Source organism: Homo sapiens, chromosome 2, assembly GCF_000001405.40.
Source record: "Homo sapiens chromosome 2, GRCh38.p14 Primary Assembly".
Classification (NCBI taxonomy): domain Eukaryota; kingdom Metazoa; phylum Chordata; class Mammalia; order Primates; family Hominidae; genus Homo; species Homo sapiens.
Genome location: NC_000002.12, coordinates 28,590,213 through 28,602,743, shown reverse-complemented (window position 1 = coordinate 28,602,743; position 12,531 = coordinate 28,590,213). Strand labels below are relative to the sequence as shown.

Genomic DNA, 12,531 nt, shown 5'->3' with positions numbered 1-12,531 from the left:
TTCCTTTAGCAATCCAGCTTGGTCTTTCTGGAGTTGAGTTCTGGGGAGGAGTCTATACAGGGCTACCTCGTAGGGCCTTACAGGCCGTACATCACACAACTCCATGGGTGCCACCCAAAGGGGCTGCAGCGGCAATGGCACCTCCTGGAGTGGGACAATAAAGACTAAGAGATCATCTCTGTTTAGCCATCATGTAGCAAGCCCAGATACATTAGAATTACCTTCGGTGAGATAGGCAACCTCTTCCCTCCAGCCCAAACTGGCCTAACTCTGCTGAGTAGGCACGCAGACTCAACCCCCACAGGGGAGCATCTGGTGGTCAGAGTGCCCTGTCTCACGCAGCCAGGGCAGCTTGTCCTTGCCAGAAGATGGTGGTGGTGGAGGGGGAATGTGCTGCTGGGTGCAGGACCAGACAGGGGCTTGCTCTAGACACACCCTGTGGCTCAGAAGGCAGTGCCCAGCCTGGGGGCCACCTGGCTGCCACCACCAGAAAATGTCCCGGATAGTAGTGGGGAGACATTAGACAATTCCACCAAGGAGTGTCCCATGTAGTGGTGAGGGAACAGCCTTCCCTCCTTCAGACCTGAGGCCCTTCTGGGCTGATTCCATATAAAATAAGGTTTCCTTGGGGTTAGACCCCAACCTCTGAAAAGGGAAGGAGTCCATGCCCCTGGCTGTCTCCTTGAGAGAAAGGGGTTCTTCTCTCATTCTTTCCCCCCATCCACCTTCACCCTCACCATGCTTGAGCTGTTACCAGCTTGTGGAAGCCCCCCACCCACCTCTCTATGCAGGACGTCCAAGGCATTGCGGAGATGGTGAACAAAGTTGGCTGCAGAATACAGATTCTAGAAAGAGACAGGAAGGAGGAAAAGGAGGAACTGGTTAGGGTGGGAGGGCAGTGGGGCAGTTCTCAACTTCCCTTCTGGCTCCAGCCCTGAGGACTTGTTCCCCCTCTAGCCTCCAGCTGTGGCCAGCTCACCATGTCAAAATCTGAGATGAACAGTTGACTACTTGCTGTTGTCAAAGATGGGCCAGTGGGAAGACTGGAACCTTCAGCCAGAGCTTTGGTTCAGGAGCAGAAAGTGGAGACTCCTCCTTCCAATTGCTTGCTACAGTTTCCTCTTTCTGAATTCTCAGGAGTTATAAGAGAGAGGAGTAGAAATACCATATATCTGCCACCTGCTACCTCACCACCTAGGACATGGAGATGGTGCCAAGGACCTGGAGGGTGGTGGGGTAAGAAGTGTGTGTGTGTGTGTGTGTGTGTGTGTGTGGTATGTGTATATGTGCAGACATAGGTGTAGGTGGATAATCCTAGGATTGGTTTTAGGAACTGTTCTCAGGGAAGATCTCCAACGCCTACTGGGCAAAGTTAGGAACAACAAGTAGGCCTGGACCTGGCCCCAATTACCGAATCTGTGCAGTAGTCACATAAATCGCTGCCTCCGATCAGCACTGTGATGACCTTCCAGTCTTCATGGAAATTTACTCTCTATATGGAGGGAGGAAAATGCTTGATAATTTCCAACAAGGAAATGAAAATATCCCTGCCCTAGGAAATCCATTCAACCCTCTATAACATCCTTGCCCACTTGAAATAATGGAATCAGCATCTCTGAACTGAAGGAATTTTAGAGGTTTATTTATAGACCACAGACTCTTAGCATCAGGAGGGATTTTCAGTGTCGCTGTACCCAGCAACAAAGCTCTCTCCATTGACATACCCTCCTCCACAGGACCTCTGTCAGGGGGCTGTCCGACCACTGCTTGAATGCCTCTAATAACATGGGGCTCACTGCTTTTCAGAGCAGGCCACTCCGTTTGGAGACAACTTTAGTGGGTTAGAAAATTAATGTTTAGAAATAACAGTAAATCTGACTCACATGATCATCTTTCATCTTCTGCATCAGAGTTTGGACTTGGCTCATAAGATCCCTGAGAAAGAGAGAAAACCCATCCTTCTGTTGAGGAACAGTGCCCATAGTTTTCCTCCTAGAGGGCCTGAACCAGAGGCTTCTACAGTATCATCCCCACTGCATGAGCTGGCAGAGATCCCGAGGCTCAGAAACCAGGAGTGACTTGCCTCTTCTGGAAAGTTATTACAACAGATAATCATTTGAAAAGCCAATGATGTGTTTGTCCTACAGCTGTAGTCAAAGTACTGCCAATTATATTTGTTGCTCATGGTCACCTTTCTGGGACTCCACATGCAAAAGGGCCTTTAGGATTCCATGCTAAGAGACCATTCATCTCCTTTGGAAGACTAGTTTAGATCCTAAAATTAGACCTATGAAACTTCTAGCATGCTTCCTCTTTTCACTCTGGCTGCCAGGAAGCTGAGTTTGATGCTCAAACATAATAACCGTAAAAATGTTCATATCGACACACAGGCTTCCTCTTTATTTCCTCCAATGGCTGCGATTTTTCTCTTACGTATATTCTTTTGTTTGTAAACTTATCTAAATGGTTCTTTCAAAAAGAGGTAGGGAATCATATGTGCTCTACACATGCTTGGGTTTATAATTTATGGAAGGTGGCAGGCCTGGTGGCTCACGCCTGTAATCCCAGCACTTTGGGAGGCTGAGGTGGGTGGATTGCTTGAGTCCAGGAGGTTGAGACCAACCTGGGCAACATGGTAAAACCCCATCTCTACAAAAATTACAGAAAAATTAGCCAGGTATAGTGGTACATGCCTGTAGTCCCAACTACTAGGGAGGCTGAGGTGGGATGATTGCTTAAACCTGGGAGGTGAAGGTTGCAGTGAACTGAGATCATGCCATAGCACTCAGCCTAGGTGACAGAGTGAAACCCCATCTTAAAAACAAAAAAAGGCCAGGTGCAGTGGCTCATGCCTGTAATCCAAGTACTTTGGGAGGCAAGGTGGGTGGATCACTTGAGGTCAGGAGTTTGAGACCAGCCTGGCCAACAGGTGAAATCCTATCTCTACTAAAAATACAAAAATTAGCTGGGCGTGATGGTAGAAGCCTGTAATCCCAGCTACTCGGAGGCTGAGGCACAAGAATCACTTGAACCTGGGAGGCGGAGGTTACCGTGAGCAGAGATTGTGCCACTGCATTCCAGCCTGAGTGATAGAATGAGACTCTATCTAAAAAAAGGCCAAAATTATAATTTATGGAAGGAATAGATTTCAGGCGTCTGTGCTCCCCACTTCCACTTGTTCAGGGCCCCGTTATAGACCTGGGTGGGATGGATCCATAGCAAGGTGATCTCCTAGGACACGGTGGTGGGACCATCTGTCCCCAGCTGTTTCTATTACCAAGAGTCTTTCCAGGCTGAGGGAGTGGGTCTGGGGGCCACACCCCTCAACCAGAAGGTGTGGGCCTGAGCAAGAAGATGACATGTGACAGAGGCTCAGATGGCTGAGCCAGGAGCTGCATAGAGCAAGAAGACCTAGGCTGCTGGGGCCTCTAGGAGCAGGGTGGGGGCCCCTTTGGAGCCCACCCCAGGAGGCTGGGCAGTTGCTCTTCTTTGGGTACCTCTGGGCTTCTCCATTCCATTTCTTGTTAGCTCCATAATGGGGCTAGGGAGGGGACATGACTCTTTGCTCCAGATGCCTCTAGGGCCAGAAGGCTTGCCCCATCCATTTGGTTGGCCCTCTCTGATCTTTTTGGGAAATTGCCACTTGTGAGGTTCTGCGGGGAGTGGATCTCTCTAGCACTGTTGTGCCTTGGTGAGTTGTAAACATTGGATAAGGTTAGTCGATTCGTCCAATTATGAGAACATGCTGCACATGAAGGCAAGGTCAGGAGTTGAACCTATAGGGGCATCGCATCTCTCCAAGGCCACAGCCTCTCTGGCCTATTACAACCTTCGTCACAGGGGCAGCAGGGAAGAGGGCAGCCTGAGCCTCACAAGTGGCTAAGTGCCCCTTTGCACATAGAGGCCAGCCCCATGGTCTTAAAGGGTACTATCCACATTCCACTCCCTGCTCTGCAGGCTCCCTCCCTCCCCAAATGCCATACTCAGCCTTTGCTCCGGGAACAGCTTGATTGAGGAATGCATTCGTGTCATTGGCATCACCCGTGCCCACGGCGTAGCCTGTGAGGTTTCTGTTAAACTCCCGAAGGATATCTGGAAGAGAAGGTGAATGGGATGCAGACGGCTCAGAACAGAAAGCCAGAATAGCTTCTCTGGTACTGTGGGACCTAGGTCCCCAAAGTGGGCTGTGTTATCATCCTCATGCTTCCTGGGGAGAGGCAGGGAGGCAGTGTGTGTCCTGGACATAAGCTGGGACCACCCTAAGTTGACATGACCTGATGACTAGGTGGGCCAGGGTGGCAAGAGCCTCTCACTCTTGTATTAAATTGTATTAATACAATTCACAGTGCATTGAAGGGTCACTACCTAATTTGTCTCAGCACCTCCTGGGCCTGTTGGAAAAGCCTGAGGCTAAAAATAGCGGGTAACTTGCCCTAGGTCACCTGACAAGCACATCGGAGATTGAACCCAGCACCAGGGATTGAAGCACCAGGGATTGAACTCAGATCTTCAGGCTCTAAATCTGGTGTTTATTTTACCTGCCTCGGCTGCTTTTTCATAGCCTCCTGTCTCCTACTTAAATGCTGGGCCATAAGGCAGATGTCATTTGCTGCTTACCTGGGAGGCACTTTCGGGAAGCCAAGGGGCCAGATGGGTGGAACAGTAGACAGATTCAAGCCCCTGATGGTTACTTACTAGGTAAGGTGGTCACATTCTCCAGGGAGCCGTCCCCTCCTGCACTGTAGGGAGTGAGCAAGCCAGTGAATGAGAGGGAGAGACATATTGGTTGAATCAATCTAGGAACTTTACACAAGAGCAGCCCCCACCCTTCTTAGTGCCCATCGGCACCTTTGAGATGGGCCAGACCCATCTCTGAGTTTGAGGAATTCTGAGAAAATTTTTAAGCCCCTAACATATTGGTTCCCTACCGAATCCAGGATTTGAAGATGAGAGAGCTGTTTCTTTACCAGATCAGGAGGGAGAATGCTTAGCTGAGTATATACTATGTGCCCAGACATGCACTAGATTCTGTGATTTCACATCTCCCAACAAGCCAGTGATGTAGATGTGACTATGTCCATTTTACAGAGTAAGAAAATGAGGTGCACAGAGGTTAATTAACTTGTTAAAAGTCATTGAAACCCAATTTGAGCTGGAAGCCTTTGGAAAATAGATAAGCTCTTCTCTGCTCAGCAGTCAGGTAAATTCCAATAGAAGGTTCAGAAGGGTGGCTGCTCACTACCTTTCAATGCCCCATCTAATTTTCATTTAATCTAACTTCAAGGTACACCCTATTTTGTTTCCTTTTATGCATTTATTAATAAATTGAGTAGGACACACAGAAGACAAGTACTATTTCTATTTTACCAAAATCTGATATTCATATATATGGTATTTACTGTTCTTTTTCTTCTGTGTCTCTTTTTCGAATCCCAGCATGTTATATTCCAGGTCAATGGATTTTTTTTTTTTTTTTTTTCGAGACGGAGTCTTGCTCTGTCGCCCAGGCTGGAGTGCAGTGGTGTGATCTCCACTCAATGCAAGCTCCGCCTCCCGGGTTCATGCCATTCTCCTGCCTCAGCCTCCCGAGTAGCTGGGACTACAGGTACCCGCCACCATGCCCAGCTAATTTTTTCTGTTTTTTAGTAGAGATGGGGTTCCACCGTGTTAGCCAGGATGGTCTCGATCTCCTGACCTCATGATTCGCCCGCCTCAGCCTCCCAAAGTGCTGGGATTACAGGCGTGAGCCACCGCGCCTGGCCCAGGCCAATGGATTTTAAGAACGTGGCCTTAGCTTCCAGCCCACCAGCAAAGACTTCTAAGGGACAGGCCATGAGTCATAGTTGTTCTTCATTCAAGGAATGCTTGGAATGAAGTGGACTATTGCATGCCAGAGTGGTCAAGGACTTAAGTCAGAGGCTCTGCAAGCAATTCAGGTGGTAGAGAGAAGGCAGATGCCGTAAATCTTACCCTTCTCCTTCACTCAGTTCTCGCTCCCCACCCTTCCGTTAGATGTCTGAGCCTAACTTGCTCGTGGATGGGCGTTTGTTTAAGCGTCTGATTCTTTTCCAGCTCTGCATGAAGCTGTTGCTTTCTAATCCTTCTTTTTCTGGACTAAAGGCACCCAATCAGAATATTTTACATTTGAAAAGAAGTATAAATTTATATACCTCTGCCAATCACTTGTGTTCTAATTCTGCCTCCTTTTCTCCTTCAATAAAGATATAAACATAGACACACAAACACAAACGCATCAAGTACTTCCTACTGTAATTTCTTGTTTAAAGGTATCTTCATTTTAAAACAAGTATGGTGGCTAATCAAGACCAACAGGCTATGAAAATCTCTCCCTGACTTCCATTTTAAAGTGAAAACTTCCAGAAGAAAAGGATTATGACAAATAAACACAAAAGCGCAAAAATATTCAAACTCTCATTTTGATCAGAACCATGAAACGTGAAAGGAAGTAGACCCATATCAAACAGCTAGTCCACCTTAGACCCTTCAGATGGATATCATTTATGTTACACTCAATTTATGTTACAGAGCTCAATGGCTGGGCTCTGGTCATCTGTTGTCACCTAAAGTGTACAGAAAAATAGAGTAGATGCTCAGTAACATTTGTTGAAGGAGTTTCAGTCATATGAGATTGACCCCCTAGTTAATAAAACAAAGGCAACTTTTTTGGTAAGTAAATTTTATTTTGATCCTTTGAATGGTCCCAAACAAGCGAACTTATTTCAATGGAAGAAAAGGCAATGCTCTCAAGACCTTGGGGCCCAGCACATTGTTAAGCTGGCCAAAGCTGGAACCGTTCACTACAGAATCTCACAGGTCAAGGGGCCTTGGAAATATTCACAGCCGAGCCTCTTCTGCAGGTCCTGTTCACAGCCACCCACCCCCCATGAATTCTGGGTCTACTTCTCCCCTAATTCCATGAGATCCACTCTTTTCACTTTGTTTCCCAGGGGGAAGAGGCTCAAATTGCATTCTGAATTGATCTAGTATCATTAATTGCCTAGTTTGTCCAATCTAGAAGCTTTAACGGCTCAAAAATTGCTTTTCTCAGATAAGTCTACTACGTGAACACTTTCAGGAGGTGTTAACAGGTGTTATGAACAAAGAAAATGTTCTGGAATTAAGGGAAACATTGGGTTAAACAGATAAAACTTAAATAGATTTCTGCATTGCAGGCCTTATGAGAGCCTTTAATATGCTAATACACACATGAATTCCCCAAAGGAAGGTTATGGTAATGTTTCCCCCTCAGATACAAAGGATTTTCTCTTCTCCAGGAACAGGTCTGGAGTTAATGTTCCATGGAACACACTTTGAGACACAGTAGTCTATGTATTCTACCAAGTGTCAAGCTGTCTCTCAGACCCCGACCTAGAGCTTCCATCTTTAACACACGTGCATTTGGGGGCAGCTATTTGAAACATTTAGGACAAATGAAGGGTTTAAAGGGACAGCAGCCATTGAACCTGAGGCCTTAGAGCTAGAACTAAAAGATTGAGACATTAGGCTGTAATGGACTTCACTTGTTGGAAGAAACAGAGCAATGGCTGAATTTTCCCATCGCTGCAGAAAGAAACTTTTAGTAGAGGACTGCTGGTTCATATCTGAATCCCAGGAGCCCAGCTGGTCGATCTGTTTTAAAGTAGGGCACATCACCTCACTTCCCCAGGCTGCCCCACCAGGTGCACGTCGCGTATCTATCACCTGCAATGTGGTTCGTCTGCTTGATTTTTGTTTCCCATGCTATCGTATGAGGTCATTGCCTTCTTTAGCTGAGACCAAGTGCAGCTGCCAGAACCTCATGCTCTTTCCTGATTGTAATAAGCTCTGCTTTCTCTCCTCTGGTTTTTTTTCTTGTAGCCTCATTAGGAGCAGAATGGTGAGTCAGTGAGGCTCTGATTTGTTCCATGGCAGCCTGTTAGGACCAGGTACCTGACCAAGGACTTGTGGAAACGCAGGGACCTTGGCGCAGGAAGGCACTGACCTCTGTTCTTGAGAGGTTGATGTCCTCATGCTAAGGACAACCTAGGTCCTCGTTGTGGGTGGTACAGGCCGAGTGATGGCGCCTCCCTCTCGCCCTGGAAACCCATCCTCTCTGGGACTCTGCTCAGGTCTGGCCAGAGAACCTTCACAGTCTTGATCACCCCCTCCCTGCTCCCTGTCACTTCCCCAGGAAGCAAACTGACTCAGAAGAAAAGGGAGGCGGCAGCAAAGGTGCTGTCCTGGCTCCGCCACTCATTAGCACGCTGCCCCCTTGTGGCCAGCTTCGTTCTAGTTGTTTTCCCAGGTAAATTCTGAGCTACTCGCCACTTACTTTGAAGCCTACAGGAATGAGAACTTTATTAGGAGAGAAAGAAACTTGAGAATATCTACACGCAACCGCTCGCCTGACACACCCTGAGCTTCTCCACTTCCGTGTTCGGGATGCCCTTTCTCACCCTTTCCTCTTGTCGAATTGCTAATCTTTCAAGACATGGCTGATTGTGATTGTGTCTTGGTTATGGCCTCTCGAAGTGTGCGATGGGTTTCAGAGGTTTTCTGTGCAGATGTGTACATATATGTAAAGGCAGCTGTGTGACTACAAGACAACATGAATAAACACATAAAGACAGTAAACAGAGACGTAGGAACACCACGTGTACACGTATACATGCAAGCGGGGAGGTGAAGATTCAGGGATTTGGTGCTTTTCTGGTGCATTTCCTGTTGGATTTGCTGACCCAGGAGTCTGATAAGAACCCTGGTTTACTTTCTCTGCACAATCAAAAAAAAAAAAAAGATTATCAACAGTAAAATATCCTCTCCACTCACCAAATGTTCACATTTTGCAGAAATATATAGCTTTTTCTTTCTGAAAGCCCCTTCCAGACCAAGTCTTCGACCTCTGGGATTTACATATTTACAGGAGACAAAGCCACACCTAATCTCTGTTGTGGGGGGAACGCTGGGAGAGGTCAAAGGTTAACATTACCTGTATGACAGTCCCCGATACTGTGTGGTGACATCGGGGAGGTCGTCTGGTTTGGAGCCAATTCCATTGCCAGCCTTTGAAAATATACCAGAGTCCATAGGAAAATTAGCAAGTCAGAGAACAGGGAGGCTGTGAATGCACAGGGCTTCCAAAGAGGGGGTTCCCAATGCACTCGTGGTGGCAGGAGCAGACATGGAACCAGGAGCCCCTGGCTCTAAGTCTGCCATCCTCCTCTCCAGCTGTGTGCCTTCCCCAACTCTTAGCTGCCTCCTCGCTGAGCTGAGGACACGCCCTGCTCATCTCACAGGGAGTGTTTTGGGGATCAAATTGGATTACAGTTGTAAAAACCACTTTGAAAACTCTCAAGTGTTTTACAAACGTGAGAGAGTGTTAATAATGTCGTTCCCAGCGTTATGCCCCTACGTTCTTTATGAGCATGAAGAGAGAGCTCATTGGCTTAAGCGACTGCAGTGGACAGATCTCTCCTAAGTCTCACATTTCTCCTCTTTCCCTCTGGGGCATTCTGTAAGGTATTCTCAAGGCCTTGCACATGCTCCTGGAAAGTGATGATCTGGGATAGTAAAATAGCCCCATTTCTTGGAAGTTAGGAGCAGAGCTTCATCCACAACTAAGGAGTCCTGCTGCTTTCCATGCAGATGCAAAGAAGAAACAGATGTGAGGGTCTCAGCTGATTATAAAGCATAATCCAAAGGAAAAAGAGCGCCCGCACAGGGAGGTTTAGGAGAATTTTGAGTCAGAATGACATATTTTTACATATATTAAAAAAGTGTTATTGGGTGTTCAAAATCTCTGCCCGCAGAAACAATTCAGTTCACTCCCAAAAAAGATTTCCTCTGCATATCCGTTTGAGAAAGTGGCCGCAAATCAAATAACTGGCATGCTCTTGGATTGACAGAGCCAGGTAGAGGGGCAAGATAAGGCAGAGGACAGGCATGCAGACCCTTAAGTTAAGAGGACTGGGATCTGGAGCTGGCCTAGTTATCCCCAAACCACCTGGGGCCCAAGAGTCCTTACGGTCAGAGAATCCCCCAGAGCAGCCACAACTTGGATGTCTGCAGGTCTCAGGGCATGCACTGGAAAGACAAGTGGACACACTTAGGGCTGCAGGAGGGAAGCCACAGTCACACTCTAGTGCCTCTGGCTTCAAGCAAGATCCAAAACACAATCTGCATGAGCACTGGGGCCATGCAGGGCTGGGTGTGCACAGTGCCATGGAGGCAAAGTTATATGAGGACAGTTTTCCCGTAAGACACAACTAATCCTGGACCTACAGGGAAAGAGAGGTGCAGAGAGGGAGAAGGAGGGAGAAGAAGAAAAGTGGGGAAAGGGAGAAGGAGAGATGGAGGGAAGGAAGAAGGGAAAGGTGGGAGGGAGGGCAGGGCAGAGTAGGAGCTCATTTTAGTGCCAGTGGTCATGGGAGATGACAGCCATGGCCTGAGTGCACAACTAGACGGGCATCAAACCACATTAAGACGAGGTGCAGGACCTGACGTGCAGCCCGTTTAAAGGTGGGTTCTGAATTTCCACCAAGAGTCTGAGAATAGCCATGTTGGGCCTTTCCTTGCCCCCACATCTCTTCTGAACAGCCCAGGGAAACTTCCAGGCCCTACTGTAGGCGGCAGTGATTGCAGAGCCTAGGGCCACAGAGCCAGCTTCCTCTTGGGACTGGGGCCCACCTCTGGGCTGAGCCACCAAGGGTGTGCTCACAGGGCTCCTCTGCTTGTGCTCTAAGAGGCGCAGGTGGGCAGGAGACGGCTCCTGGTCCTAGGTGCCTTGGTGCCTGCTGGGCATGGTGTCACCACCAGCCAGAGTGGTGCGAAACAGGGACTCATCCCAGGTGACCACCCAGGCAGACAGCAAGCACTGGCCGTCACTGTGCCATTTAGTGAGTGTGAAAGTCAGGTCAGAGGACTCACCAGCATAGCAGCCCCTGTGGAGGGGCCCTGGGTCCTGCTGTGCCATAGGGGGCTTACCTGAGGTAGGGTGCAAGGCAGAAGGGGCTCTGTCCCTGCATGGCAGCCAGGTCCCATGACCCTAAGGGCATAGAACAAATCCCAGAATCTCAGGGTTGAAAGGGACCAGAAAAACTGGCTATCAGATGTACCCCAAGAACTTTGAAAAATACAGATTCCTGGGTCCTACTCCTAGGGAGGGGCCTCAAAAGGGCCTTTGAAGAAGGCTCCCTAGGTGATTTTGCGTAGCGGCCACAGATCGAGGTCCACTCATCGAGTTCAGACCCCTCCACCGTCCAATGCAAGAATCAGGGCAGCAACAAATGACCCCACTCCACACCTGCCCCTGCTTCTGCACCAGCTCTACAAGGAAGGGGATTTCTCTTCACTTATGTCGCAGTGAAGCTGTGATTGGGTTGGCTGGATGCCTTCCAGCTGTTATCCACGGCATTTACTCTGCCCACTACCCCATCTGAAGGTCAGGTGGGTGGCCTTTATGCCCATCTAGAACTCTTGCCCGCTTTCCCACCCTGTCCTGTTGGGCCTGTCCCAGCCCAGGGGTTGCCCATTGCATTGCCTGGTGAGTCAAGAGGAGGCAAGAGGCAGGTACCTGCATGCTGTTCTTGTAGGTCCTCAGAAACGGCTGGACCTGTGAGGAGAGGGGGGTGAGCAATGGCAGCAAATTCTGCTCACTTCTCTGCTTGTCAGCACTCAGTTAAGTGTCGGCCTGGCACAAACAGCTGCGGCCTGCCTGCCCTGTGTCCCAAGCCCAGCCTCTACCAGGCTGACTCCCTCCCAAGATGCAGGGGGCCGTCTCTGCAACCTGAACCCAGCACAAAGAATGAGCATCAATTCATGCTTCACGGGAACGCGCCTGTCTTCCTTCCACCTCCCGCGTGGCTGGCTGAAGATGGCTGTGCTGCCTCTCTTTCTCCACCCTCCCCTCTTCCAACCATGCACCTCTTTCTGCTGGAAAAAGCCCTTGTCTCCGCTCCCCAGGCTCCTTTACCACTCCATGCCTACCCCACCCTGCAGTGACCAGGGCCCCTTCCTGCCCAGGCAAGAAAAGTCAGATGATTTTGGTCCTGCCTCACGTAAACCCCATACAATGGTTTCCAGTGTCAGCCTGGGAGCCCTCTGGGTATACAGAGGGATTCTTGGGGACGAGGACAGCTGCTGCAGAGCTCCAAGAATCTTTCTGAGAACTTGTGAGTAAAAATGGGGGCTTCTTCTGCTTTTCTTTCCCTAGCTCCAGCTTCCAATTTACTCCCCACCACCCAACTAGAGATACTTCTAGGTCTCGATTCCTCGCTCTACCCATATTGTCATGGAGGCAGGGGCTATATGAAGACAAGGGATCCTTCCGCCCCATCTGCCCTTGAAGTTCTCTGCTGCCCTCAGCTTTCAGAATGACAGGTAGATGTGGCTGCCATGCTCATCTTGCCTGCCCCAAAGAGTTGTCTCCACCCCAGACATGTGTGAGGGCTCCCAGCCACGCAGGGACCAAGCACTCCCAGGCCTCTGGGTCACTGGGGGTGGCCGTCCCTCTCAGTACAACCAGATGGGGCA

The 12,531-nt window shown here is 49.0% G+C and overlaps 1 protein-coding gene across 3 annotated transcripts in view, besides 2 other annotated features; it reads right to left on the bottom strand.

Annotated features, from left to right (window-relative positions):
- Positions 1–12,531, bottom strand: part of PLB1 (phospholipase B1) — a 148,083-nt gene that overhangs the window by 41,399 nt on the left and 94,153 nt on the right. For all 3 annotated transcript variants that reach the window (NR_138141.2, NM_001170585.2, NM_153021.5), the window contains 9 exons: positions 11,573–11,611; positions 10,984–11,044; positions 10,025–10,083; positions 8,990–9,063; positions 4,696–4,739; positions 3,984–4,092; positions 1,884–1,935; positions 1,412–1,492; positions 780–845 (listed from right to left, as the gene is read on the bottom strand). Coding sequence is in view for 2 of the 3 variants with exons in the window: in NM_001170585.2 (NP_001164056.1) it covers positions 780–845; positions 1,412–1,492; positions 1,884–1,935; positions 3,984–4,092; positions 4,696–4,739; positions 8,990–9,063; positions 10,025–10,083; positions 10,984–11,044; positions 11,573–11,611 (585 nt within the window). In the remaining variant the exon portion in view is untranslated. The remainder of the gene's footprint in view (positions 1–779; positions 846–1,411; positions 1,493–1,883; positions 1,936–3,983; positions 4,093–4,695; positions 4,740–8,989; positions 9,064–10,024; positions 10,084–10,983; positions 11,045–11,572; positions 11,612–12,531) is intronic.
- Positions 5,688–5,982: an enhancer, noted in NCBI's record as "tiled region #1316; HepG2 Activating DNase unmatched - State 20:ReprD, and K562 Activating non-DNase unmatched - State 21:Repr". NCBI's record gives its function as "activates a minimal TATA promoter and a strong SV40 promoter by Sharpr-MPRA in HepG2 and K562 cells {active_cell/tissue: HepG2 | K562}" and the evidence as "EXISTENCE:reporter gene assay evidence [ECO:0000049][PMID:27701403]".
- Positions 11,273–12,239: an enhancer, noted in NCBI's record as "H3K4me1 hESC enhancer chr2:28813372-28814338 (GRCh37/hg19 assembly coordinates)". NCBI's record gives its function as "activates a minimal SCP1, AML or CMV promoter by ChIP-STARR-seq in primed H9 embryonic stem cells {active_cell/tissue: H9 hESC(primed)}" and the evidence as "EXISTENCE:reporter gene assay evidence [ECO:0000049][PMID:30033119]".